The sequence below is a fragment of the Homo sapiens genome, chromosome 20 (assembly GCF_000001405.40).
Source record: "Homo sapiens chromosome 20, GRCh38.p14 Primary Assembly".
Classification (NCBI taxonomy): domain Eukaryota; kingdom Metazoa; phylum Chordata; class Mammalia; order Primates; family Hominidae; genus Homo; species Homo sapiens.
Window position 1 is genome coordinate 22,580,904 of NC_000020.11, and position 27,394 is coordinate 22,608,297.

General features: G+C 47.1%; 1 protein-coding gene and 1 long non-coding RNA gene across 5 annotated transcripts, besides 6 other annotated features; both read right to left on the reverse strand.

Annotated features, from left to right (window-relative positions):
* Nucleotides 1-94: 94 nt before the first annotated feature.
* FOXA2 (forkhead box A2) lies at nucleotides 95-4,587 on the reverse strand. 4 transcript variants are annotated; one of them, NM_153675.3, is made up of 3 exons: nucleotides 4,372-4,587; nucleotides 3,289-3,358; nucleotides 95-2,251 (listed from the first exon to the last, which is right to left on the reverse strand). In NM_153675.3, the coding sequence occupies exons 2-3, from the start codon at nucleotides 3,355-3,357 to the stop codon at nucleotides 947-949; spliced, it is 1,374 nt and encodes a 457-aa protein (NP_710141.1). In that variant the 5' UTR covers nucleotide 3,358; nucleotides 4,372-4,587; the 3' UTR covers nucleotides 95-946. The 4 variants fall into 4 exon arrangements, with proteins under 4 accessions (NP_710141.1, XP_047296089.1, NP_068556.2 ...); XM_047440133.1 differs by lacking the exon at nucleotides 4,372-4,587 and adding an exon at nucleotides 3,934-4,112; NM_021784.5 differs by lacking the exon at nucleotides 4,372-4,587 and having other exon boundaries at nucleotides 3,289-3,669.
* Nucleotides 1,130-1,701: an enhancer, noted in NCBI's record as "H3K4me1 hESC enhancer chr20:22562671-22563242 (GRCh37/hg19 assembly coordinates)". NCBI's record gives its function as "activates a minimal SCP1, AML or CMV promoter by ChIP-STARR-seq in naive H9 embryonic stem cells {active_cell/tissue: H9 hESC(naive)}" and the evidence as "EXISTENCE:reporter gene assay evidence [ECO:0000049][PMID:30033119]".
* Nucleotides 1,702-2,274: an enhancer, noted in NCBI's record as "H3K27ac-H3K4me1 hESC enhancer chr20:22563243-22563815 (GRCh37/hg19 assembly coordinates)". NCBI's record gives its function as "activates a minimal SCP1, AML or CMV promoter by ChIP-STARR-seq in naive H9 embryonic stem cells {active_cell/tissue: H9 hESC(naive)}" and the evidence as "EXISTENCE:reporter gene assay evidence [ECO:0000049][PMID:30033119]".
* Nucleotides 3,699-4,454: an enhancer, noted in NCBI's record as "H3K4me1 hESC enhancer chr20:22565240-22565995 (GRCh37/hg19 assembly coordinates)". NCBI's record gives its function as "activates a minimal SCP1, AML or CMV promoter by ChIP-STARR-seq in primed H9 embryonic stem cells {active_cell/tissue: H9 hESC(primed)}" and the evidence as "EXISTENCE:reporter gene assay evidence [ECO:0000049][PMID:30033119]".
* Nucleotides 5,210-5,965: an enhancer, noted in NCBI's record as "H3K4me1 hESC enhancer chr20:22566751-22567506 (GRCh37/hg19 assembly coordinates)". NCBI's record gives its function as "activates a minimal SCP1, AML or CMV promoter by ChIP-STARR-seq in naive H9 embryonic stem cells {active_cell/tissue: H9 hESC(naive)}" and the evidence as "EXISTENCE:reporter gene assay evidence [ECO:0000049][PMID:30033119]".
* Nucleotides 5,966-6,720: an enhancer, noted in NCBI's record as "H3K4me1 hESC enhancer chr20:22567507-22568261 (GRCh37/hg19 assembly coordinates)". NCBI's record gives its function as "activates a minimal SCP1, AML or CMV promoter by ChIP-STARR-seq in primed H9 embryonic stem cells {active_cell/tissue: H9 hESC(primed)}" and the evidence as "EXISTENCE:reporter gene assay evidence [ECO:0000049][PMID:30033119]".
* LNCNEF (lncRNA neighboring enhancer of FOXA2) lies at nucleotides 6,619-26,614 on the reverse strand. Its single transcript, NR_109883.1, has 3 exons — nucleotides 26,443-26,614; nucleotides 8,289-8,508; nucleotides 6,619-6,885 (listed from the first exon to the last, which is right to left on the reverse strand). It is a non-coding gene; the product is annotated as a lncRNA neighboring enhancer of FOXA2 (long non-coding RNA).
* Nucleotides 9,574-10,169: an enhancer, noted in NCBI's record as "OCT4-H3K4me1 hESC enhancer chr20:22571115-22571710 (GRCh37/hg19 assembly coordinates)". NCBI's record gives its function as "activates a minimal SCP1, AML or CMV promoter by ChIP-STARR-seq in primed H9 embryonic stem cells {active_cell/tissue: H9 hESC(primed)}" and the evidence as "EXISTENCE:reporter gene assay evidence [ECO:0000049][PMID:30033119]".
* Nucleotides 26,615-27,394: the final 780 nt, after the last annotated feature.

Consider the following 27,394-nt stretch of genomic DNA (forward strand, 5'->3'; position numbering starts at 1 on the left):
GATGGACAAGTATGTGATAAAGCAAGTATAATGAAATGTTAATTGCAGAATCTCGGGAGCAGGTCCCTGTGTGCCTACTGTAAAATTCATTCAATTTTGGTATGTCTGAAAATTTTATTAATAAAATGTTGGGAAAACAGCAACACTCCCTGGGCCAAAATAAAATACAACCTGCAACCAGACAGGGTATCCCTCCCTCCTTCTTGAAATAATTTCCAAGCCTGTATATTTTGTAAGCCAAGTAAAGAAAAGAAAAATCTGGAAGAAAAGATTCAAGGGATAAAACCGGGTATAACACTTTAATATAGATTTGTGGAACTCTGGCCCTTGCAGCCAGAATACACATTTATAAGCCATAAATAAAGCACGCAGAAACCATAAATTAATCGGACCCGAGACCTGGATTTCACCGTGTCAAGATTGGGAATGCTTTTTTTTTCTTTTTCTTGGTCATTTACAACAGACCCTTACATTATTTTTTTTCCTGTTTTTAAACAATAGTACAACCCTCTGGTTCTGTTAAAACTACATGGTTTTACACCGAGTCACTCACAAAATTTTTTTTTTTTTTTAAGTAAGACTTCCCTGCAACAACAGCAATGGAGGAGAACAACAACAACAAAAAAATCAGAATCTGCAGGTGCTTGAAGAAGCAGGAGTCTACACAGTAGTGGAAACCGGAGGCTTTTTTTTAACTTTATATTCTTTCCCGTTTTCCTCCTTATATAGAACGTGGGGTATCTGTGTGGCCCTCTGTTTGGGACGGAACGGCTGCAGCGGGTGAAGAAGACTGCTGTCTTGGGGGTGTTGGGGTGGGGGTGTTATGGATTTCTTCTCCCTTGCGTCTCTGCAACACCGTCTCCCCAAAGTCTCGACCCCCACTTGCTCTCTCACTTGTCCTCGATCCGGGGTGCCAGAGTTAGCCGGGCCTGAAGCCGTCGTCTTCTTAAGAGGAGTTCATAATGGGCCGGGAGTACACCCCCTGGTAGTAGGAGGTATCTGCGGCCAGGGGCGAGGCGTCCAGGCCCGTTTTGTTCGTGACCGGGCCCATGGCCAAGCTGCCAGGCATGGGGGAACCGTAGCCGGGGTAGTGCATCACCTGTTCGTAGGCCTTGAGGTCCATTTTGTGGGGTTGGTGGTGGTGGTGGCTGTGGTGGTGCTGCTGCTCCGAGGACATGAGGTTGTTGATGGAGAACGGGTGGTTGAAGGCGTAGTGGTGTTCCGGCTTCAGGTGGGCCTCAGGCGGCAGGCCCGGGTGGTGGGGCGGGCCCAGCAGGTGGGCCGCGGCCTGCTGCTGCTGCCCGGGAGAGGGCGCCGGCTCTGGGGGGCTCAGCGCCGCAGCCGGCGTCCCCTTCAGCTCTCCCAGGCCCCCTCGCTTGTGCTCCTGGCACGGGGAGGCGCTCGAGTGAGGCGACTCGGTGCCCGCCGGAGTCTCGGAGGCCGGCCCGGCGGCCTCCCCGAGTTGAGCCTGTGAGGCCTGGGCTCCGGCGGCCGCCTTCTTGCCGCTGCCGGCGGCGCCTGCGGCCTCCTTCAGCGCCAGCTGCTTCTCGCACTTGAAGCGCTTCTGGCGGCGCAGGTAGCAGCCGTTCTCGAACATGTTGCCCGAGTCAGGGTGCAGGGTCCAGAAGGAGCCCTTGCCGGGCTTGTCGGGCGAGCGGGGCACCTTCAGGAAACAGTCGTTGAAGGAGAGCGAGTGGCGGATGGAGTTCTGCCAGCGCTGCTGGTTCTGCCGGTAGAAGGGGAAGAGGTCCATGATCCACTGGTAGATCTCGCTCAGCGTCAGCATCTTGTTGGGGCTCTGCTGGATGGCCATGGTGATGAGCGAGATGTACGAGTAGGGCGGCTTTGCGTGCGTGTAGCTGCGCCTGTAGGTCTTGGGGTCGCGGGCGCGGCTCAGGCCCGCCTGCCCGTACATGGGGCTCATGGAGTTCATGTTGGCGTAGGGGGCCAGGCCGCCCATGGCCCCGGCCGCCTGCCCCCCGAGCGGGCTCAGGCTGGGACTCAAGTGCGGCCCCATGCCCGCCACGCCGGCCGCCCCGGCCGAGCCGCCCATGCCCGCCATGGCGCCCGCGCCGGGGGACATCCCCGCCAGGGACGGGCTCATGCCAGCGCCCACGTACGACGACATGTTCATGGAGCCCGCGCTCATGTTGCCCGAGCCGCTGCCCATGGCGGCCGCCGACATGCTCATGTACGTGTTCATGCCGTTCATCCCCAGGCCGGCGTTCATGTTGCTCACGGAGGAGTAGCCCTGCGGACAGAGCCCCGGGAGGGAGGCGACAGCGTTAGCACCGCGGCTGGAGGGTGCCCAGACCTCCCACCCACCGCCCAGGCCTCCGCGTCCGGGGAGGCCTCCGGGGAGCCCTTTCGTCCCCGATGGCCCAGTCTCCGGACTCCGAGTCTGTTTCATTCAGGGAGAGTCATGATCGATCGCCCTTGGGAAGGTGGCGAGCGGATTGCTGCTTGGGCATGTGGCCCGTTCCTAGCCCTTCTCCACCTCGCCCAGATTCTAGAACAGGGGTCCCATGGAGTACTCCCAAGCCAGCACCCCAAATACATTCCCCTACCCCAGAGTCTCCCCAAACTCTCCCACCAGCATACTGAGCTGGCGCCGAGGCCCGAAGTCCCCGGACGCCACCTCCGGTCGCAGCAAGCAACCTGCGGGACAACGCGCGGGGCGCCTCGGGCTGCCTCCAGCGAAGACTGTCCCGGGCCCCCTCTGTCCGGTCTCCCTCCAGGGACCCCCTCCCTTGTCCCAGGGAAACTGCAAGGCAGTGCCTGTGCGGAGTGCGGGGGCGGCTGGAGGCACTGAACGGGGCAATAGGGAAAGAACCGAGACCTGAACCACACGCGGCTGAGCTTTGCAGGCAAAAACTTTCTTTCTCTTTGTCCACTAGTCTTTGACTCTGCCTCCACTTCAGCCCCCAACTCCTACCCATCTTCTCCTCCTCAGCTCCCCACCCCCTCGCCGGCCGACCTCCCACCCCTCCCCAGCCGCGCGCTGCCAAACATAACTCTGTTAGGATAGTGCGTGGCTCGGCCACGAAGAGGATTTGGAGGCGCCGCAAGTCAATATTTGATCACAAAGTTAATATTATCTCAAGGCTAACAGTGTGTCGTATAAAAAAGAGACCCATTTGATTCCAAGGAGGGCGGAAAAGGCGGCTGCCCAGAAAGGCTGGGGTTGTGGGGCGGGGTGGGGGGGTGCCAGCGAGGGAAGCGGTCCTGAGGTTGGGGAAGGAGCGAGCGCCGCCGCTCCACTTCCCCCTGGAAAAGACGAGCGCTTACCTCGGGCTCTGCATAGTAGCTGCTCCAGTCGGACGGCTCGTGCCCTTCCATCTTCACCGCTCCCAGCATACTGGAAGCCGAGTGCATGGCAGTTTAAAATTTAACAGCCACAACAAACGACCAGCAATCACCCCCCACCCCCACCCTCTTTTAAAAAAAAGTCAGCCAAAGCACCGTCCCCTCCTCCCTCCCTCTCTCGCGCTCCCTCTCCCTGGGCTCCACTCCCTCTCTCTCCCTGGGCAGGCCGGAGGCGGTAGTTGGAAGTGGGCGGGAGGTGGGGGGGGGCGAGGAGCGGAGGAGGCCCAGGCCAGCGCCCCGCGGTAGGGAGCACCCGCCGCCGCCGCGCTCACGGGCTGCCGGGTGGCGGCTGAGGTTGGCAGTGCCGAGCTGCCCCGAGGCGGCGGGAAGCGCGCGGCGCGGGGGCTAGTGGGGGGGTGGGGAGGAGGAGGAGGAAGGAGGAGGAGGAGGCGGTGGTGGTGGTGGAGGAGGAGGAGGAGGAGGAGGAGGAGGAGGAGGAGGAGGAGGTGTGGACCGCGGAGCGGACAAGTGCCGCAGTGACGTGGGAGGCTGGTGATATAGCGCGGCGCGCTGGCGCGGGCCTCCAATCCCCAGACCCGGGGCAGCCCATTTGAATAATCAGCTCACACCTAGGTGAGAGGTAGCCGCAGCCGGCGCTCCGCACCTGCCCCTCAGCGCCTGCCGTCCGCCCCACCGCCGCGGCGCCCCGCACTCCTGGGCGGGCCAGGGGAGCGGGCTGGGCGGGCGATCGGGCACGCGGGATCCCTGGTCGAGCCCCCTTTCCTCCCGGGTCCACAGCGAGTCCCCTGAGGAAGGAGGGACCTGGGAGGAAACCACCCTCTGGGGCGGCTCCGGCCTCCAGCCCCCGCCCCGTCTCATCGCGCCGGGCGCCCGGTGCGCCTGTCGGAGGGCGCGTCCAGCCTCAGTGCCCGGCAGATCCCTATGAAAGCCGGATTTATTTATGCCGGGTTTCTTCGCTCTCAGTGCTCATTCTCTGTCAAAACAGCAAGTCCATGACAGCCAATTTGCAAAGCGCTGTCCTATTTAGAAAAACTACGTACACACCTTTAACTCGCCCGCTGCTGCTCCTGCGAGGCCCCTCCCTGTTACAGTTCAGACCCGGAACGGCCTCGGGAGAAGCGCGGGGCGCACGGTCTGGCCGCCTCGGCTCTCCGACTCCTCAGACACCGGCCGCCAGGGACCCGCAGTGGGGCGGCCGGCGCCTGGCGCAAGCAGCCCCTCTAGCAGCGGCCGACGGTTGGGAGGCTGAGATTTGTCTCTGATATTCAGGCCGGCGTGTTTCAAGGTTACTTTTCAGTCACAACCGAGGTGCCCACAGCATTTCGTAACTAAAACAAACAGGGCAGGAGGTGGGGAGGGAGGGGTGAGGAGAGAAGAATCCAGGAATCAATGATGGGGCATATGGAGTTGACTTCAAGAGCGTCTCTGTCCTCTCTGTCTTCCAGAGGGACTGCTTAATAGAAATTAGAAACTCCAGCAATCGTATACTTTTATTTCCCCAGCAGCTCTTGGGTTCAAAAATTGTCTTCTGTTCTGGGTTAGCCTGTGAGCCCAGATTTGGAGTGGGGGGATATTGCAGGTGTTTGGATGTGGAGGCTCTTTCTTGGTTCTGAAAACCTGGCTGGACCTTGGGGATCCAGCCCTGTACCCACCCCCTCAGACACAGAGAATGCATAGGAACTAGTGGGCATCCAGCCCACCTGTCCAAAATTGGGGGCGATGGTGGCAGAAGACAGGCGAGATGGCAGACACGGAGCTTCGCATTGAAGCTTGAGTAAGGGTGAGGCTGGAAGGCAAGCGAGGAGGTAGCAGTAGGCACAGGGGAACCACTTCCCTAACCCCAGGACTCTCAGGTCTGCACGGTTTGGGACACAGAAGGAAGCCGCCGGCAGCATCTTTTGCTGCTGAAATGCAGATGGTTTGGACACTTCATAAAGAGGGCATTAATAAGCCCGCCGAGTGAGCGCCAGGGCGGGATTCTCCCACAAATTCAAGGTCTGTATCTCCGCGGAAGCCGTGCCTATCGGTCCCCCGAGTGCTGAAGGCTCCCACGAGGGGCAGGCCAGCCCGGTGCGCCAGGGAAGGAGCTTGATGGTGTGTACGGCTACGTAGTGAACGTGGAGGTGTGCGCAGCGGAGTCAGAGGGGCTAGATCCCCAGCATTTCCCACGGGGTCCCACCTAGCGCGTGGATGGGAGCAACTTCATCACTCCACCGAGGGCAGGGAAAGAGGAGTAAGCATTGGAGCTCAAAGAATGAGCAATTTTTCAAAGCTTTCTCCGCAGGCCTGGGCAGACACACACGCACACACACACACACCGCACCCCCAAAACTCAAAAGAATGTTATGGTTGACCTAGTCTGTGCGTGTGCTGTATGAGAGTATTTGTGAGCTTATGTGGGTGCCCACTTCCCTTTCTATTTTGCTCCTGGGTGGAAATTTGGTCCCAGAAATTATTCCAGGAACAGAAGGAGCGAGCTGGAGGGCCGCAGGAGAAGGGGGCGCTACACTTCCAAGGAGCGGACTTTGGAAGCCCCCACCTCCACCACAGCACTATTGGTGGCCGGGGTCAGGGACACCAGAGAGCGCTCGGCGGGGGCTTCCACAGTGACAGGGCGCCCCCTGTCGGCCGCCAGGCCCGCGGGACCGACCCGAGTCCTCATTTACCCCCGCGATCCCAACCCCGCAGCTCCGGCACCGGAGCACCTTCTCCCCCGCTCTCCCAGTCTCTCCGAAAACGCCTTCGGGGGGACTCGGCCTTTTTGGAGCCCCAACCCCTAGGTTCTGCGCGAACCCAAAACGGCCTCCTGCACCCTGGCGAGGTTCTGGGAGCTCCGGTAGGGTAGGGCTGGATGACGCCTCCTAGAGTCTCGGAGCAGCCGCTCCCGCACCCTCCCGGCACGCCTGCCCATGGGAATGCGAGCGGGGTCTACGGTTAGCTTTAGGTAGCTGGGAGCGGGACACCAACGGGCTGCGAAGGAAGCAGGGACGTTCAGACAGCCTGGGGTTCGCGTTCCCTTCCAGCTCAGCGGTCTTTGGAGCTCCTCCTTCCCGGAGTTCTGATTTCTAAAGGGCTATCCAGAGTTCTGGCTCAGGCTTGAATGCTGAAGATTGCTCCCGGAGTTTCTCTCCAGGAAAAAGTTCGCGGGGACCTCGGGCTGCAGATGTTTCTCCCAATCCCTCTTTAGTCTACCCTCATGTAGGGCCGAGACCTACAGAGCCCTTCCCTTTCCATTTTGTTAGGTCACCGCCGGCTTCTATAATAAAGCTGCTTTATAACTGAGGACTGTGCTTGGGGTTAGCATGCTATTTTTATTTTGGATGTTGCCTCAATGGCAAAGTCATAAGACTCGAGTTCAAATCCAGGCCTCCTCTGCTCTCCCTGGGAAGAAAACACCCAGGCCATCCAGGTCTCCTAGGCCTTCATCTTGCTGGAACAATCTGCGTTCCCCTAGCAAAAGTCCTCCCTAGAGCTCTCTTTGTCACATGAAACCAACCAGTGCAGAAGGGGCATCATTGAACAGAACTCAATTTTCCTAAGTGAGAACCCATGAAATACCTAAGGAGAAAAACAATAAAAGTCCCATTAATACTCCAATTCCTAAAACCTTTCAGAGAATAAATACCCAGGCAAGGCCTTGCTCAAAGTTCCCCAGCGTGTTTAGGGCAACATAAGGCAGATATGTAGGCAAGATGAAGGCAGAGGGGATGGAAAAGTGACAGCACAGTCTTGGGAAAGTATGCATTTTTACTTTCTTATAAACTTTTTAATTGGTAAAAAAGCAGATGTCCAAACACCCCTTATTCATTCTCTGGATGAATCTCAAGTCTCAATGAAGAAAAGGCATATCGTGTGTCAAAGATTATAATCAACATTTCACTTTCTTTGGGTGGGTTATTATTTCTGAAATGTACTGAAAAATCAGCCAGGCGCAATGGCTCATGCCTGTAATCCCAGCACTTTGGGAGGCCGGGGCGGGCGGATCACCTTAGGTCAGGAGTTCAAGACCAGCCTGACAAACATGGTGAAAACCCATCTTTATTAAAAATACGAAATTAACAGGATGTGGTGGCCCATGCCTATAATCCCAGCTACTTCGGGGGCTGAGGCAGGAGAATCGCTTGAACCCGGGAGGCAGAGGTTGCAGTAAGCTGAGATCGCACCATTGCACTCCAGCCTGGGCAACAAGAGCAAAACTCAATCTCAAAAAAAAAAAAAAAAAAAAAATTAGACCATCAAAATTTGTCTACTTGGCACTGAGCACACCTTCAAACACTTATGTTGGCTTTCAAAGTTCTTGGATGGTCAAAAGACCAGTTGTTTACGGAGAGGGCAATTGAAAAGGTCATTAGCTAAGAACACCTTATCAGAGGGTATTTATGTAAAAGAATAAAAAAATTCAGCATGTTGCAGCCTTCAGCAAAGGCTCAGGAAAATGCTGATAAAGGGGGAGGCAAGGTGCAACATTTTAAGTTTAATACTGTGTGCACCTGCATGCAATTTATCTCTCCACCGCAAGATCCACAGGAAAAGATGAAACATACATTTTTAAAATGAGAAAATAAAATGAATTAAATAAATACGATGTTAGTAACCTTGATTATGTTTGGGTGGTAGAATTATATCTTCAATCTATGTTTTTAGAAGTATGGGTGGTATCATTTTATATCACTACTTTATTATTACATTCTCTTTTACTATTTTATGGTGAAATATGTAATAAGGATATTGGATCTGATGTTAAGGAAACTTTGGCAAAATAACTTGTGCAAATATTCATTCAGTTCTCATCCTTGAAAGGAGATCAGAGAAGCCACCATACAAACTGACGACAGGTTTGAGTTCTGAAAAACAAGGCATTATTATTTTGTCTTACTGGTATCAGGGGATGAACTGTGATTTTCCCTGAGTTGAGAGAGGAAGAGAAGAAATATTCATGTCAACCACAGGTATTGACTTACCAGGGTGGTTTCTGCATATTGTTTAGGGGAAGGAGACAGACTCTGTCCTCTGGGTGGGGTGCCTTTAAGATGGATCTGGCACACAGATCTCTTGCTTTATGCATGTAGAATTTGATCGTTGTGCCGAAGGTTGGGTTTCAGTTATGGATTGTCCATCTTTTATGGGACTTCTCAGTGGATGGATTGAGCAGTTGCGGATTCCACTCCCATCTGTGGAGGTCTGTGAAGAAAGCCAGTGCTCTGCCCATTCTGGGCCAGGGTTTGACAAATATTTCTGGTATATATTTGACAACCTGTTCACCATTCTTGTGTTTTTAGCACATTTCTGGTATGTGGGACTATTATAGCAGGTAATTAAAATAATTGGAAGAGATAAAAATAAAAAATGACAAGTTTTAGTAGCAATAACAACATGCCAACCTGAGTGAGAATAAACTTCTCTTTGAGGGATGCTTAAATTAGATGCATCTGCATTTGTGGCCCTGGGAGCTATTTCATACATTTGGATGTTATTCTTGGGAGAAATCTCAGTTATTCCTGCCAAACAGGCAAGCAGTAAGCTTCATGAAGGACAAGAGTCATGGGGCGTCAGTCATAGACTACCTGGAGAATCCAAACCCAGGCATTCTTTCTTAGGATACCATTAGGCCTATGAGCTGCTGATTACTTAGTTGGATAAACAAATGCACTTTCAACAAGTATGAAACAATGCAGCATACGAGAGACATGGAGATCAGAAAGAAGCCACTAAGTCCTGGGTTTCCTGGCTGATGCTTAGGAAGCAGTTGTTTGCTTCTCGTTTCCATCTCAAATGGTACACAGTCTCTGAATCAACAAAAAGAGCTATATATAACTTGCTCTAATATTAAGCAATGACAAGGATGGGGAGTTTATATGTTTTGGATTCATTCAGCAAATATTTAATGAGCACTTACTATATTCCAGATGGTGGACAAATAGGCAAAGCCATGGGCTTCTAGAAACTAAGTCTGTTTTCCTCTTTTACTTCCACCTTTTCTCCCTTTTTCTGCCTCAGGTCCCAGCCTCTTTACTTTTAAGCCTTCTTCCAATCATGACCTTGGAATTTCCAAGTGCTAAAATCCTATTCCAAAGGGAAAATTATACATTTCACCATTCTAAAATAGTCTAGCTGCGGGCAGAGATGGACTAAAACCCAAGGCGAAGAGCCTGGTTTGACCCAGAATCAATAGAAAAAACAAGGGCTCAGCTGTCATATAGACAAGCAGCCCTGCAGTAGCCCAATTCTCTCCTGTCGCCATTGGCAATTCCTGTACAATATCAGTTTCCTATCAAAGGGATAACTAGGGGTTTCTAGCTTCCAGGAGAAAGAAGGATGAAGGTGGCCAGAGGTACAGCTTCACGCGGTGGATGCTGCTTGGGAGCCTCGTCCTGTGTCAAACATAGCTCCTAATGCTTTGTAATGCACGCATTTGCATTATTTAGCTCTTTGTTAATTTTACTCCCAAGAGTAATTCCAGAGGAAGGATTGTGGAGTTCTCTGCAAAAAGGAGAGCTTCAGGGAGGGGTACCATATGACAGCAACAGTGACCCACTAGGACTGGGCAAATGAACTAGGACTGGGATGGCCCCTCACACCCTTATGTGCATAGGAATCCCTTGGTGATCTTGTTAAAATGCAGATTCTGATTCCGCAGGGAGGGGCTTGAGTTTTGCATTCCTAACAAGCTTCCAAGGGATGCTGATGCTGTCAGTCTGGTCCACTGACCACAGGTGGAATAGCACAGCTTTAAAGATCTGTTTCTCTCATGGATCCTGTAGTCTGTCCCTAGCTGGGTGGTGATATATGACTTGATAAAATGAGAAGTACAGCTTCCTTTTCAGCTTCTGCAGGTTCCCTAGTGCATCTACGTCCTTCCCCTCTCAGCTGCTCTGAGCCACACCAACTCTTCTCACAGCCACAGTTCATGGTCCCCAGTCCACAGAAGTCAGAACTTGTCTGTGCAGCCCAAGCAATGTAGTGGTCCTCCCGCAAAGCAGAGCTGCCCACCCCCCATGCCCCCTGTGGTGCATTGTTAGCTCACCCCACACTCCCCCTCCTATGCTGTGTTTTCCGGAGACAGGGACCTCCCTGGTTGACAGGGTAGGAAAGGGGACCTGTGGCAATTATCAGCTCACAATGTGGAAACATCATTTTAAAAGTATATATATATATATAAAAGCCAGACTGAGTAGTGTCAGCTGCAACCTCACTGCATCAGCAAACACTCACCAAGACTCTTTTAAATTTTCTCCTTAAGGAAGAGGCCCCAGAGAACACAGACTGATCGTGTCCAGTTGCCCACCTCTGGGGCTGGGCTGGCCCTGAAGGCTATGCAGGGCTTCCCACTCAAAAGAAAAAAGGGATAGGACCGACCTCTCCCAAGCATCCCCTGAACCTCTTCCTTGATCCCAATATGCATTTAAGAAACAAAATAGAAAGATCAAAAAGAAGGGAAAGTGAGGAAGAAATTCCTGCTTATTGAGTTTCAAATGAGATTTTCATGGTCCTCCTGGAAACGACCTGAGTCTCTTGTGATGGCAACTGGAAATGGGAAATTTCCTCCACAAAATTTGGACTGACATTGAGTTGGCATTGCCTACCCATGCATGAGAAAATAACATTATTAGGAAAAATTAAAACTGAACCCATAGATTTCACAATTACCCCCTTTGTTAAGAAATACAACTGTTCTCCTTAGTGCACCACTCAATTTTTTCCCAACATATATAACAGAAAATGCTCAGAAATTAAAATTTGTGTCTCAAAGATGAGAAGAATTTTTCAAATTAGGCCATTCCCTTAATGCTTATTTAATTTGCAATATACATTCATAATTAGTGATAAGATAATTTTTCCCTTTGGGGGAATTTAAATGAAGCATTCATTCTGGAAAGGTTCCTTTCCTTCACATATGAACTGCTAAAAGAGACAGAAAATATTTCTTTCTGTGGGCAAATTTAAAAAATTCCTACCATATTTATAAAGGCACATAAATAATTAATGTAGAAACACTAAAAAATTTAGACCAAGAATTAATCAATGTGTCCTTTTAAGGCAATGTGGATTGGGGATAATAAAACTGGTGAAAAATTATACTAAGCTGCTTTGAGATTCCTGGATGGAACCAGATATAACACACAAACTTATTTTTCAGTTGTCCCTTTCACACCTGGCTACTAAATCACCCCATAGGTTGCCTCTGTTAGTCTAGAAGGTTGGAATATGTGATGCTGCCTGGGAATGAATTATACTATGTTATATGAAAAATTATGATGTAAGTGACACATAATATTCTCCGGAGGAGTCTACATGAATAAGTCTATACCTTTCAAAAGTTTAGGAGTTTAGATGTGCCGTTTAAGTGTGAAATCTGGCAAATTCATTCTCCTAATTCTTCAAAATAAACTGCTAAGTAGATGCTAATGTTGAGAAACATGGGTCAGAGTTCCTTGGGGTGGGAGCTCTGATCTGACACTCACTATCCCCATTCTCATAGTTAAGTAGAAAGTGAAAAGAGACTGTTTTATCTCTACTCACCTGTTTTCTTTCATTCTTTTCTCCCTCTTAACATATTAAATTTAGAAATACAGAATTCTTTCTTCATGTACATTACCCAAGAGTTTCCTTTACCTACCCTCCTCCAAATGACTGAGCTCTCAAAGACTAGAGAGAAGTCAGGGTAGAGGCTAATATTTTCTTCAGACTTGATGATTCATGCAAGCCTTTTACATAAGAGAGCTCACTTTGTTTTTGGGAAAACTGGGGTGAGGGACATTGATGGCTCACCCAACCCTTCTGATCACAATCTAGGCCCTCTGACCCAAATCTTGACCTGTTTTCATTTTATAATTTTCTTTTTTTCCCAAAAGGCATTCCTTTAGTTAGATGGAGAAGTTATCAGAAACCTGGGAGAAAAGAAAATACTCAGAGGTAAAGTTTCCAGGTTATTGGAATAGTGTGCATTTGTACGTGTGTGTATGCATATATGTGTATGTATTTAATGTGTGTGTGTGTGCGCAGTTTATCTACAATATACCCAAGATCTTATTGCTAGTGAAATATAGTTAAATAAACAATAACCCAACTTTATTACCTAGTATCGTCTAGCTATTATAAGCAGTGATATCTCTATGAAATAATATAAAAAGTATGATGATTTTATAATGAAGAGCTAAATAGTTGCAGGATATGAGTAATTTGATTTAAGTTTTATAAAAATAAACCCTGATTCTGTCACTGCATGGAAAAGGATTGAAGTTTACACATCAAAATATTAATAATGATGAGCTAAATAGTTGCAGGATATGAGTAATTTGATTTAAGTTTTATAAAAATAAACCCTGATTCTGTCACTGCATGGAAAAGGATTGAAGTTTACACATCAAACTATTAATAATGATACACCTAGAGCGTGGGACTTAGGAGGATTGGGAGAGGATTTCCACATTTTACTTTATATCTTCCTTACATTGGACAATAATCTCTTTTGCTTTTGTCATAAAATAATTCTAAACAAACACTGATAAGTGCGGTCTTGGCCACCAGCTAGCTGACATGCTGCACATAATATTTCTGGTTCTTATTAATCAAAACAGACGCTTTTCTGCATCGTCTTTTAGAGAAAATGACCAGGCCCCCTCCCCTGCAGGAAAATAGTTCCTATTTATAAGAGGAAAAATTAAATTCGGAACACCCACAGGCCAGGAGAAGTTAGGTAGGAAAAAGAAACCACTAAGACTTAATAAATCTGACTTAATTTTAAAAAAAAGTGGTTGTCACGGGGCAGACCTAAAGAACCAGCTAGTACTTAAATTGCTGTGGCTCTTAATTGCTTATGGTCCTCAGGAAGTGAAAGGATTGAAATGCAGGCTCTATGTGGCTTCACTTAATTAATATTTATGACTTCAGAAGAAAATTAAATAAGGCAAATGGTGTACTTTTAAACAGCCTGTGGTCATGGTTAGCAGGACTCACAACAAATTCAGAAGCAAGAAATGCAAGCACACTTTGGGCATGCGTGGTTTCAGTTTTCATTTTTTATGCCTGGTGATGCCTCTAATACCAACATCTTGGAACATTATGGTGATTGTTTTCACTTATCATGCTTTGCATGTTTCTTTGTCTTTGTGATTGGTTGTCTGAAGGAAGATTTCTTTTTCTGGGGGTGGAGAGATAGGGAGATGCACAAAGATGTTAGCTCTGGAAGCATCTATAATTTCTCAGTGGATGTTTTTAAGATGTATATCTGCCATTTACTGACTTTTTTGCCTGGTTTGATGATTTGAGTTTTTCCATTTTGAGAGCAGAGAGTTGATGAGATAGCATCAGTTCCTGTAATGAGGAATCTGGGCTATAAGTCTGTGTGATAATCAATGTTTATTGAATGGATGGATGGGTAGATGTGTGAGTGGATGGATGGGTGGATGGGAGAATAGAGCACAGATTCTATGTTACTTGCATTTAAAAACCCAGTTTACCTGTGAGCACTGGTTTTGAAGAGATAGAATTAGATAATAACAAATCCTAGATGGAAGCTTTTCAAACTTCCATTTGTGACCCATTAATGTGTGTGACAGCAATTTACTTCATTACAAGTACTGGAAAATAAAATAATGGAATAGAAGTTCTCAGTGCATCTCACATAGTAAACAGAGTCTTGGAAAACCTCTGTTTCTGTTATAAATGTGTGTGTCTGCATCAGGATGGAAAATGCATTCCTTACTGTGGGTTCTCATCTAGAAAGCCTAAGCGACCGTATACACTGGGAGCTGAGGGTCCATTAGCTCTCCTTGCAAGGAAGCTTCAGTTTTCTCATCTGGAAAAGGGGGATAATAGCAGAAGCCACCTCTTCAGACTAGGTAAGGATGACATGAGTGGAGGCTCATGGTGATGGCTTAGCCCAGGGTCTGGCATATTGAGAACATTTAATCAATGTTTTTTTTTTTTTTTTTCTCTCCTGTATCCTCTGCAGCTTCTCAGCATTACAGCTGAGAAAGTTCTCAACATTTTACACAGAGAGATGCATTATACTATGTTTTATAATTTGTCCTCTCAACTCTTACTTAAAACAACCTTCTTAAAAAAATAAACACATTTGCTCAAAATGACACCACACATTTGAAAAGATTATTTCTCATCTCTATACATGATATAGTAGCTGTGCTGAGCTCTGGGCCAAAGACTGCTCCAGAATTGGAAAACATGTTCTACCCACTTGTGACTCTCCCTAGCCAAGAGCCAGACCTTGTCTTCAATTCCATGGCTTTCCCTTCGTTTGAAGGTTAAAGTCAGCATTTCACTTTTACTGCTGTTAATAACTCCCAACTTTTCCATATTTCCATTTTTTTCTAAACTCTTTACTACATGCTAACACTGCCTTCATTTTTTCTCTGCCCTCTTCCTGAGGTCACTTGGTCCTAGAAGCCTCAGGTTCCAAATGTTTTTGCAACCTCCCCTTTACCCTCCCCGGTAACATGCTGTTCACCATTCCACTTTCTGATTTCCTTTTCTGTTCCTTTAGTAGTCTCTGCACTTCCCCTCCTCTCCCATCTGTAAAGCCATCTTTCTTCCAAGTGATGTTCTCCAGGTGACCTGAATCTGGCAGAAGCCTCCTCCATCCATCTTTTTAGAAGGACCCTCAGTTGCCAGAGCCAGTCTGACACCTTCTTCCATACCAGCTGCTTCAGACCAGCCTGGGGGCCTGCTCTGGGGGTGGAACCATTGTCAAGTTTCACCCATCAGCTAAAAACATGCCACTTGGATTCATTGCAGGTAACCAAGAAAGTCATACTCTTTAAGCTCACCAACATAGTTACATAGTTCATAAAAAATATTGCTCCATTTTCCAAGGGACTTTCTTAGTTGACGAGTGGGAGCAGAGGTCCCCATAATCAGCAGCTGGTTTGCTCATTGCTGGGAAACACAGAAGACAGGTCGGTCACTGGACAGGGGGTGCAGAACCCAGCGCTGGAGTGCACAGAGGTAGGTTTTGAGAAGGAGTATGCACTTCTTAACTTTCCAATAGCATTACTCAGTATTTTCTTTTCCTTAAATAGTACTTTAGCTCACTTATCAGATTTCAACTTACTTTTACACACTAAAGTATGACTTGAGGTCTTCCCAGGTTCACACGTATAGAATGACCTTTTCTTTTCAGCTGCAGTGCAGTGTGTATATTCCATAGTTCTTTAGTCAGTCTATTACTATTGGTGTCTCAGGTGAGTTCCCCAGAAGCAGAGCCTGAGGAGAGGACTCCTGTGCATGAGAATTACCAAGTCACTGTGCTTCCCAGAGAGTTCTGTAAGGGAGTGGGGAAGGCAGGGAAGCCCAGTGTGGGCCATTTCAGGCTATGCCCAGCAGAGAGGAGCTTCAGACTGGTCCTGAAGGGGACTCAGGTGTGTGAGTGAGGCTCAGCGCTGCACCCATCATTGGTTTAAGGGCCCTCCTGGGGGCAGGGGTCTCACACATCCCAGGCACGTGAAGCTGTCTATGAGAGTATACCAGGTGGCTCTGGGCACCCAAGAGCAGTCTATGATGAAGAGCTTGCAGGTGCAGAAGCTTGCTGAAAGCCCCACAGCAGATGGCCCTCTCCTTTTTAATTGCAGCCACAGTTGTGACAGGGGTGTGACCTAATGTTGGCCTTAGCTCTTATTTAAAGGCACGTTTGTTTGTTTCCCAGAGAAGCTCAGCCAATATTCATTTGACAAACACCAAATCCCTAGTATGCCCCATAAGCTCACATCGCAGCTCATGGGGCAGCATGAATGTCCTCCAGGAGTTCACACAGCTGGGAGTAAACCAGAAATAGGTATGAACACAACAAAATTCATTATTGCAGCAGCAAGACTGTGCACCACTGAGATAATAGCAATTCACTCTTCCTTGGCTGGAAGGGAGGGTTGCCTCTTGCCTGAGGGGCTGATATTTAAGCCAAACACTGGAGGAAAAGAAAGTTTGCCAGGCCGAAAGTGACACAGGGCTCCTGGAGTTGGGGTTGGGGGGCAATGCCAGCACAAAGACAGGGGAGCAACTGGGCAGCGGGTGTTAGGGCAGGAGCTTCCTGGGAAGGGCAGCGAGAACAGCTCAGAGACAAGAAAGAATTGTTCTGAGGAGCTTTCAGGCTAGGGGGTTTGGACTTTTCTCTTGGGAATGGGGAGTCATAGAGTGTTCTGAGCAGGAGAGAAAAGCCCAGGATGGGTTTGCAACAGCTCCTCTCTCAGTAAGGTGGAGGGAAGTGAGATTGAAACCAGAATCACTATTCAGTAGACACTGAGGTGTCACTGGGCTTGTTGGTCTGCTGCTGGGAGTACAGACCACAAGCTGCCTTCAGCTGTCAGCCCTTTCAGGGGTCAACTCAACTGCAGAGAGCACTTCCCTTGAGGTCATGGTCTTTTCTAGGGTGGCCCAAATCCAGTCCTGTTGGATGAGAGTCTACAAGGGTCTGGCCATCTCGGCCAAACTCAGATAACTCTGAGAACTATACCAGCTCTGGGGCTCACCATACGGTTGGCCAAGGCTGCTTTGGGGACCAGATTCTCCCTCTGCTCACTCCTGCCTTCTGTCCGTCTCCCCAACCCCTGCCAATTGACCCCACTGACTGTAAACACACCACATGCTAAACTCCAATTGAGAGGCTGCCTTTTTGGAGCCCAGCTGAGACAACAACTCAGGAGGCTGTAGCACTACCCCAATAGAGAGGATGGGTGTGGGAACATCCCCTCCAGTTTCCACACTCAGTGGAGACAGCTCAGTTCTGGCAGGAGAGATCTACCTCTCTGGTAGATCAGGCCTCTGATGGTTTCTCCAGAAAACTCCAAACCCACACAGACAGGAAAGTGTCAGGTAAAATGAAAACAAAACCTGGGCTCAAAAGTTCTGTGTCTTAGTTTTGGCTCTCCCAGAAATCCACTCTGATGCAAAGATTTGAGTGCAAGCAGGTTATTTGGCCAGGAAATGCTGGTAGGGGAGTGATGAGGTGAGAGAGGAAAGGGAAGGCAGCCAGGCAGGGGCCTGCCATCAGGCAGGTTACTACTGTGGGCACTGGTGCTTAACTCTGCTGGGACCTCTGGGAGCCAGAGTAGAACATGTGCCTCAGAGTTGTCCCTCGCAAGGGTAGGGGAGCTGAGGTATTTATGCACCAACTCCTGTCAGTCACTGACTGACAATGGCTGCTCAGGTGTCTTAATTCTCCAGGTACTTCCAGTCCTTTGTGGGTAGGATAGAGTTCTGCTGCTAGAAATTACCCTGAAGCACAAAGGTGCACATGGTGGCAGGTGGAAGGTAGGCATGTGGGATATACTTGGGGCTTGGATATTGTCTAAGTTTTAGTGTCTCCATTTCCTAATGGCAAGAGCTTAGAGGCCTCATCCATGCAGAGCTTCAGCTCTTTAGTCATCAAACAAAGATAATGATACATGTGTTTTAATTGTTGTGAGGTTTAAATGTGAATAATATCTTTAAGAATGGCTGAAGGGAGAGACCAGTAGACATATAATATTAATCACATTTCCTGAACTCCCAAACTGCATTCTCAAGTATGGCGAGGCCATGAGTCCCCTTCAACTCATTTAAGATAGAATCAACTTGGCCAGGTGTGGTGGCTCACGCCTGTAACCCCAGCACTTTGGGAGGCCGAGGTGGGTGGATCACGAGGTCAATAGATCGAGACCATCCTGGCTAACACTGAGAAACCCCGTCTCTACTAAAAATACAAAAAATTAGCCGGTCGCGGGGGCAGGCGCCTGTAGTCCCAGCTACTTGGGAGGCTGAGGCAGGAGAATTGCATGAACCCGGGAGGTGGAGCTTGCAGTGAGCCGAGATCACACCACTGCACTCCAGTCATGGGTGGTGAGTCACCTGCATTCACCAAAAGTGATATTCTACCAACGATCTCTGGGCCTATTCAATGAGGTATTGGAAAGATATCTCAGCATTCAGAAATGTTTCTGCCCCATTTTTTAGGGATAACATTTAGGAACAGTGAGGTCAGTGTCACCTGGAGGGTCAGCAGCTGAATGCAGAATGGAGAACGCTTCTTCCTCCCTCAGGATGCTCACTGAGCCCAAGACTTCTTTTTTTTTTGAGGAGGAGTTTTTCTCTGTCACCTAGGCTTGAGTGCAGTGGCACAATCTTGGCTCACTGCAATCTCCATCTCTCAGGTTCAAATGATTCTCCTGCCTCAGCCTCTTGTGTAGCTGGGATTATAGGTGTGCCGCAATGCCTGGTTATTTATTTATTTATTTATTTATTTATTTATTTATTTATTATTTTTTGAGACAGAGTTTCCCTCTTGTTGCCCAGGCTGGAGTACAATAGCATGAGCTTGGCTCACCACAACCTCCAACTCCTGGGTTCAAGGGATTCTTCTGCCTCAGCCTCCTGAGTAGCTGGGATTACAGACATGTGCCACCATGCCCGGTTAATTTTTTTTTTTGTATTTTTAGTAGAGACAGGGTTTCTCCAAGTTGGTCAGGCTGATCTCGAACTCCCAACCTCAGGTGATCTGCCCACCTTGGCCTCCCAAAGTGATGGGATTACAGGCATGAGCCATCGCACCTGGCCCCTAATTTTTGTATTTTTAGTAGAGATGGAGTTTCACTCACCACATTGGCCAGGATAGTCTCGAACTTTTGACCTCAGGTGATCTGCCCGCTTTGTCATCCCAAAGTGCTGGGATTATAGGCATGAGCCATCGTGCCCGGCCAAGGCTTTTTAAAATTTAATTTAATTTTATTATTATTATCATTACTAGAAGGAGGCATATGGAAATGCCCAATTTGAACAGAAATTTTCTAGAACTATGCATTTCCAATGCTCAGTGGTGAAAGAGTCAGCTAGAGCATTGAGTAATGGTGAACTGTGTTCCCTATTAAATAGAAGGTAAGTGATTTCCCTGCTTTGAGTTTCCTGGTGTGGTGATTCACTTGCAGTGAATAGGGACTCCTGATAAGATACTACCATCACGGAAAATCTTCAAGGAAAGGCTAGATATCTAGCTCTTCCCTGAACACCAGAGGCAAGAAAAGGGACTATACCTGGGGGGCTCAAATAGACTACAGAGGAAAGCACTTATAATTTGACCAGAAGCACTTTTGTGCAAAATACCAGGACTGTGATAATTCCCACCATGTGTGAGAAGAGTCCTCCAGTTTTCAGGGCCATTGCTGCAAAGTACTGGTGGAATTTCTCCTGTCCTTGTAAGAACTCTCATGCCTGAGTCTCAGATTTACTTTTAACCGAAAGCCTTTGATTTGATCCCCATGAGGCTAATGGGACCTTAAATCCATCACAAGACTCTTTGGAATTTATCTGGAGATTCCACCTTCTCTGTATTTCTAATCAGTCTCAATGGCTTTTTCTATAATAGAGTTTTATGTTCTAGTCATTAATCATTTTAATTTTTAAAATAGATAACATTTGAAATACTACTTCCCCTTTCCTAAGCTTCTTTCGGACAGCACTGAGTAAGTAAAGCCTTAACTATGCCCTCTGGTTGAAAAAAAAAAAAAACCCACACATAAACCTGTTATGTTTCAGACTTTATGATCTGAGCATAAAAAGAGCTGAGCCTTTGATTCATATTCTATTCCATCACGAGTACAGCGGTACTGAAGGGATTTGCATGTTTAAAGGAGTGTTCAGAACAACCCATATAATGAATTCTCAAGGGTCTTCGCAGAGGAATTGCTATTCATCTCCACCATTGATGTCTGTGGCGGGGTCTGTGTTCTCTGGGGACGTTGAGTGGATGCCAGTGCTCAGCAGCAGCCAGTCATAAGGCATCTGGGTAGAGGCCTCCATCTTGCTTGGACTTGGGAGGGTAGAGAGGGTAGGTTGAATGGCTTGCAGGCTGCACCAGCTGGTGGACAGGTGGTGTGTGCAGGTGTTGAGAGATAGGTAATGAGGTTGGTTCCTTCCCTTAAACAATTTATTACGGAGCACCCCCTTTCCTAGGAGTCCAAAACCCAGAGGGATCCAATTTCCTGCTTTTAAGCTGGAAATTGCATGGATCACCACATTTTCTTGTGAGAAAAAATGTGAAGGCAACTGGCCTGGGAAGGAAATCTCTGGCCACCAGATTGGTAGGAAATTCTACATTACAATGTTCTAAGGTCTGTCTTTATTAAAACTGCAGCATATCCCAAGTACCTGGAAGGGTTATGGTTGAGTTTACTTAAAATTTGACAAGAAAAGGTGAAGGCACACCAGTCCTGCACGTTGAAAGCTCTGTTTCTCAAAGGGTTGTGTGAGAAGGAGCTGGGACTGGGCTGGGAAAAAACTCAGCTTTGCTTTAGCTTGGTCTTACTCATCAACACCACCTTTTCCTTGCAACTGTGTCAACACAGTGGGCAGGACCTTCTCTGTTAGTCACTACCTTTGATGTCTGGGGAGCTCTGCTTCCCTATCCCCAAGGGTCTCTTATCAGCCCCCTACCAGGCATTCTTTTTCCTCAGGATTCTGTTAGTAATTGCTCCTCCCTGAGACTTCTCATCCAGCCTAACAGGTGGTCTAAACCAATGGTATTCACTGGTTGAAGAGAGAAATTGATGGATAGTAGTGGGAAAAAACATGACCTTTAGACTCAAGACCTTGATTTGAGTCTGATTCTGTCACTTATGAGCTGAGTAGCATTGGGCAGGTACTTAACCTCCCTAGGCCTCAGTTTCCTCATCTTCCTCAAACAAGATCATGCTTTCTCCTTCCTCCAGGCATCATGGAGATTAGATCTGCAATGCACGTGATGGTGACTCAGAGTGGGCCTGCTGTAGATATTAATTAGTACCCAGAACACTCAATATGGTTTCTCTGTATGTTGGCAATTGCAGGGTGTAGAGTAGCTAGATGGATCTTCACTTGATTTGGAAGTGGTCTGACTTACATCACATGCTGTGTGGTGCCTGAGAAGCTCCCTTAGGGAGGATCATGAAACAGATGTCATCCATGGCAGCTGCAGGCCTTGCCTTTAAACTCCCAAGCACTCACCTGTGCAGCCAGGTGCCTACTCCAGGAGGAGAAAAGGGTGCCAAGGGTGTATTTCTTTTGAGGGTGGTTATTGTTTCCTCCAGTAAAACTGGATCCTTAACTAGTTGTTATGTCATCAACAGCATCATTATATGAAGGAAAATCCTAACATTTTAAGTTGATATCTTAGAGGGCAATCATATTCTCCCACAGAAAATTCCGAGTTACAGAGAAGACCAATTGTTCTAACTCAAGGCAAGCACTTTTTTTTTTTTTTTTTTTTTTTTAGTGGTTATTTCTAAAGAAAGAGAAACAAGCTTACTCTAGGCATTCTCCTTCTCAACAGCTTGGGAAAGACATTGGACATAGACTCAAATGACCCAGCTTTGCCCCAGCTCTGTCTCTTGGGAGCTGGGTGACTCTGAGTCAATTGGTTAATTTTACTGAGCCTCAGAAGCTTAACCTTTTAAAATAGAGTGAACACATCCAGTTGTCCAGAGACTGTGAAGGTGGCATGAGATCAGTGGAGGGTAGGAGCTTTGCCAGGCTTTGGTTGTCCCACAGCTTGGGGGACATGGACATAGGGAAGTGCATGCTGAACAGGTCTCAGAATTCATCTCAAAAACCATAAACCTTACTGGGCATGGAAAGGGTTTGGTTCTTCCCAGGGGTTTGGTTCTTGCAGAGATACACATTTGTTGATGATGAATAGGAGAGCAAATTTTTATTATTGAAAATATTGAACCGGTGCCTTTGTCACCTCATCAGTCATATTCTCTTTCAACCCATCCACTGTGAAAGTGAAAGGGAATCCGTGAGGGACAGGTTGAGGAGTTTTTCCTAGATCCGTGCATTAGTGCCCAGGAGCCACCCGAAGGTCTTATTACACATTCTGAATCAGAAGGTCTGGAGTGAGGAGGGGAGAGCTGAGAGTCAGCATTTTTTACAAGCCCCCAGGTGATGCTAATCTCCTATTCCAAGGGCCACTCTTTGAGAGTCTAAGGCTAAGAACAAAATGCCTTTGACCTACTTTGAGGTTTAGTTTTCTCCTTCTTGAGCCCACAGCAGAGAAATAATCCTAAAACCAGGTTTTGGGGAAAGAGAAAAAAAAATTTAAACTCCCAAATCCTCCCTTACATCTCCAGAATGAGGATTGACAGACTCAGACCCTAGAGGTTTTCCATGAGCCATGACAAGGGGAGGTTACAGGAGGCCATGTGAAAGCACTGCAGGCAACAAGAAGCAGATAGGAATATCTTCCTGATTTTTGAGAGAAGGGCCAGAGGAAGAAGGAGAGGAGTAGTTGGGGCCCAGGCTAGCTTTCCTTAGGGCCGATCTCAGGAAGAGGGAGGGTGGGGAAACACCTAGGAGGTATTTTGTGAGACTCAAGAGACACTTGAACACATGCTCCTGTTTCCCTCCCCAGCACGACCCCCCAACACGGCAGCTCTACAACGGCAAGGACGGGCATGGGTTTGGGATGCGGGGTTTTGACACTGTGTGTTGTCTTCTTCACCTCCTCCATGGTGAGGAAGAGAGCCGGGCATTGCTATGGGCGTTGTGGGGGTGAGTGCAGTCCCTGAGGGATGAGGCCATCGTGCCTGCTGTGGGTTGGATCCTCAGTCCCCCTAAGGTGAAAGGGAGCCATGTGTGTGGACTCTCCCCCCAACAGTCCTGATCCAGGCCCATGCTCAACAGACTCTTCAGCAAAAGGAACTCACATAGTTGTCCCCAAAGAACCAGGCAGAACCGGCACTCTGCAGCGGCACCAGAGGATATTGTCTCGACCAGGGGAGGGGAGATGCTCTTTACCTGGGAGCCACAAATACAGGAGCTCTGCATAGGGACCAGGCCTCCCCTAACACCTGAAGGGACATTAAGCATTTCCTGGAGGCACCTTGAAGAGGCACAGGAAGGATAAACAGCTATAGTGGAAGGTGGCTTTAGAATAGATAGCCTAAGAGGCTGACTGATGTGGCTTACACGGAGGAGGCTGTTTCTCTCCACAAGCCAGCTTGCGCAGCTTCCCCCAGTCATTACAGGGAAAAAAGTGGGAGGAACTTCAAAGCTGAGTCCAATTATAGGAAATAAAGAAGTCATTTTTTTCTTGGCACACGGGAACAGTGGTGTGGAATGTCAGTCCTGCTATAGTACCATTTAATCAATACACAAAACTAAATCTTACCACACTAAAATAAAACTGTTTAATTCATATGCTTTATACTATGCATTTTACCTAATAACCATGACAGTAAATGAGATATTTTATCATCTTTTAAGATTGAACATTGTGTTACACATATTTCCATATATTGTCTAGATTTCTTATTCTTTATTTTGTTATATTCAACCTTGTTAACATTTAGTGTGAAAAATGGCAAACGTGTTTATGTGTGAATGTGTATATACATTTTGTATGTAATATATATGCTGTTATGTGCTTAGTTGTGTCCACCTAAAATTTATATGTTAAAGTCCTAACCCCCAGTACCCAAGAAGGTGACTGTATTTGGAGATAGATAGGATCTTCAAAGAGGTAACTAAGTTTAAATGAGGTCATTTAATGGATGGGGCCTATTTAATATTAGGATGCAGACACACACAGAGAGAAGAACGTGTAAGATGTCCATCTGCAAGACAAGGAGAGAGGCTTCAGGAGAAAGCAACCCTGCTCACACTTTGATCACAGACTTGTGGCCTCCAGAATGGTAAGAAAATACATTTCTGTTGTTTAAGCCTCCCAGGCTATGGTACTTTGTTATGGCAGCCCTAGCAATTGAATACAGAGAGTAATATACCTATTAGACATACATGTCAATGTTCCCTTTACAGGAAATGATGAACTCAGCAGTAATTTAATAAGAGATGACTTAGAATTGTAAATTCTTGCCCACTCATATGATGAATATTTATTGGGGACCCTCTGTGGATGAGCTGTGGCACACATGATCTGCTCCCTCACATGTACACCTATAAATTCACCCAACACATGGTGATTTGGGTTGCTAGATGAGAGTCAAGCAAATTGCTTTTGAGAGAGGAGGCTCAGTGAAGTGGCATTTAAGCTGGGTTTGGATGGGAGAGACAGAAGAACATCCCATTTGGGAGGAATGCATGAGAAATAATATGGAGCAAAGATGTAGACATGTTCTGGAAATAGTGACTGGATAGTAGGGTGGGAATATGGACAGATCATAAGGGGAGGGTGAGAGATGGCCAGGGAGGTCAGGGACTGGCCATATTGTGCTGGACCTTGAAAGCCAGGCCCAAAATCCTGTTTCTTTTTTAACAGGGAATGACGAGTAACAGAATTTTTCAAAGCTGGGAAGTCACATGATTAAAGTGGTAGATTAACCTGCTAGAAACATCTAGAATGTAGAGCGAGGGTGCACTAGAAATAGGAAAACAGATGGACTTTGCAGTAATCCAGATGCAAGGCAACTGAGAAGAGGGCAGGAACGGGAGGCATCCAGGAGCCGGAGAAAAGAGGATGCTCGGGACCTGGCAGCTTCCTTTTCATCTCTAGGTAAATTAAATACTTTCCCACAGTTTGGTGCCCTTCATGGTGCTGCTACCTGCCAGGCTTGAGAGAGTGAGAAGCTGGAGGTCTCTGCCTTTTCTGTGGCTGCCCAGGACAAACCTCATTGGTTCTGCTGAATGAGCATCATTAGCGTATTTATACTAGAACTCAGTTCCAGATAGCAGCATTTGAGAATCAAGATAAGAGAGTGTTATTTTCAGTGGGAAATCAGTGGGCCAGTGGAAGAGCTAGAATAGTGAGTGACAATTGTCTTGCTGGTTACTCTCAGCATTGGCACAGGGGTGTGGTGTTGGGCTAACTTAATTTGCACTCAAATACTTTGTCCTCCCACTGGCTGAAGTTCCACTGCACAGAGATTATGCTTTGGGTCATGTGGCTCTCGTGAGGTGAATGTCCTTTATGAAGAACGAGAACTAAGACTCTCTAGGACCGGCTGGGATAAGGCCTTGGACGTGGTGTCTATCTGGTTCTAGCCCCTTGAGATGGAGCCATCTATTCCACATTAGCCTGTTCAAACAGGGCCTCCAGCATGCTGTCTTGGATTTACTCTAAAATTCTAATCTCTTGATGAAGATTTTGGTGGCTACAAATTGCTGCTCTTCCTCTGGGCACTGGAATGGATGGGTGTCCTGGTTTGGATTTTCTAGCTCAGCCCTAAAGAGGAAGAAGATTTCTGCTAAAGAAGAATGCTTTGCCTGGAGTTTCTGGTGCTGGCAATTGGCTTGGGCCCACTCTTGAACTAATAGGTTCAACTTTATCCCCTGGCCACAGGTATAAACTCAAGAGTGAACTCTTTATGCCATGTAAGCCACACAGGCTGCAGGTATTAGAAAAAGAGCTGCAGTACTCTTCTGAAAAGTCATCTCTGCTCTCCCTTCCTGAAGGTGGTGGAAGAAACTTGTAATCATGAGAGCTGCTGGGATCCATTTGCAACCCTGCATGATGCTGACCACACAGAAAGAAGACGAGAAAAACAGAATCCAGAGGCCTTGACATTCTTACTGGGCCCCAGTATCAAAAACTCAAAATCTTCCCTACCTCTGGACTTCCAGTTATGTGATCCCTGAAAGGCATCCACGTGTGGCCTTTCCCAGTAAGGCTTTAGTTAGGTTAGCTAAAATGTTAGCAAAGTCTAATCTTATTGGCAGAAAAAAAATTGCCTTTTACTATGTTTGTACCTTTCAAAGACCTCATAGCCCAGCAGACTTCATAAATGCTGGTGAATTTCTTTCAAACCATTGTCAAATAAAACCTCCCATCTCCAATTAGCATAATGTCTCCATTCTGAAAGTCCAGGAGGCTTCTTTATTTTTTTGTTCTAAAGATATCTATACCAGGATTGCAACAATTATGAGGACTACTAACAAGAAAAACTCCTGAAACTTTTGAGAATGGGATTTGCATTTGCAAAATGATTTGCAACCAGACCTGCCAGGTAGCACTTCACGGAAATCAAAAAATGGGTTTTGAATATCGAGATTATATTTTTTGGCATCCAAATTCGTAGTAAAATCACCTTTCTAGCTGTCTGCAGTAGATGTGACTAAACTCTCAGAATAGCTTCCACAAGTGCTGAATACTTTTGATAAAAGTCGATGTAGCTGGAACACAGTCACATTTGATTGACTTACCTTAATTCTCTAAATCAGCTTATTGCCCAAACAGCTCCTCAATTCGGGTGTCCCCATGCTGCGGCCACCTTCTCTAGTTGCCAGAGCCCGCTTCTCCACCCTAAATAACTGCGACTGCGGCAGAGGCATTTGGGTTGGTTTAAGACGGCAGTATATCCCTCTGTTTCTTCATTCAGGATTTCTTTCCTTCAAAGGAGACTTTGTGTTTCCCAAGTTTCCTTCTTCTGCTTGTATGAATCTAAAATGAATCTGAACTAAAAGTACTTGTTGAGTGGTTATGCTCCCAACTGTAATTTGGAGTCAAGGTATGAATATTTTATACTCAAAGAGTCACTGAAGATTTGTAGGAGGCTTTTAAAAATAAAATGAATACACTCATTTTGTTGGCTCAGGTAGACTATAGCTGGGGGAAAACAAAAATACAGGATGAGCCCTCAATCATGAGTCTTTAAAAAATGAATCAGGATTTGTGTTTTGGGATAATCAGGAGTCCCTGTGGTGAGTACACAGTGTCCTTTGGAGGAAAGAAATACCAGCCTGAAGGAGAACCGGGAAACAAAAACAAAAGCCACCCAAATGCTCCAATCTCGTTTTAAACCAACCCAAATTCCAGAGGTGCAGTTTCAGAAGGGAGCTCTTCATACCCTGGCAGAAATTAGGTGTCAAGCTAGAGAGCCAGTATTCAGATGCCTGTGGCTTCCTTTCACTGCAAAAATAGATTTAAAAAATAATCCAGTCTTTGGCATATTTTCTCCGAGACGGAGAGACCTGAGTAGCCCCTTTGCTTTCGCTGTATGTTTGTGTTGCACTGAGCTGAGGGCTTTGTGAGCTCATAGGCTACTTCAAAAGCTGTTGAAAACAGTCAAAACAGAAACTGAATACATGTGAATTAAGCATTTCCTTTTTTATATAAATCTGTGAGTCTTTTTTTTTAAAATAACATCTATTGGTT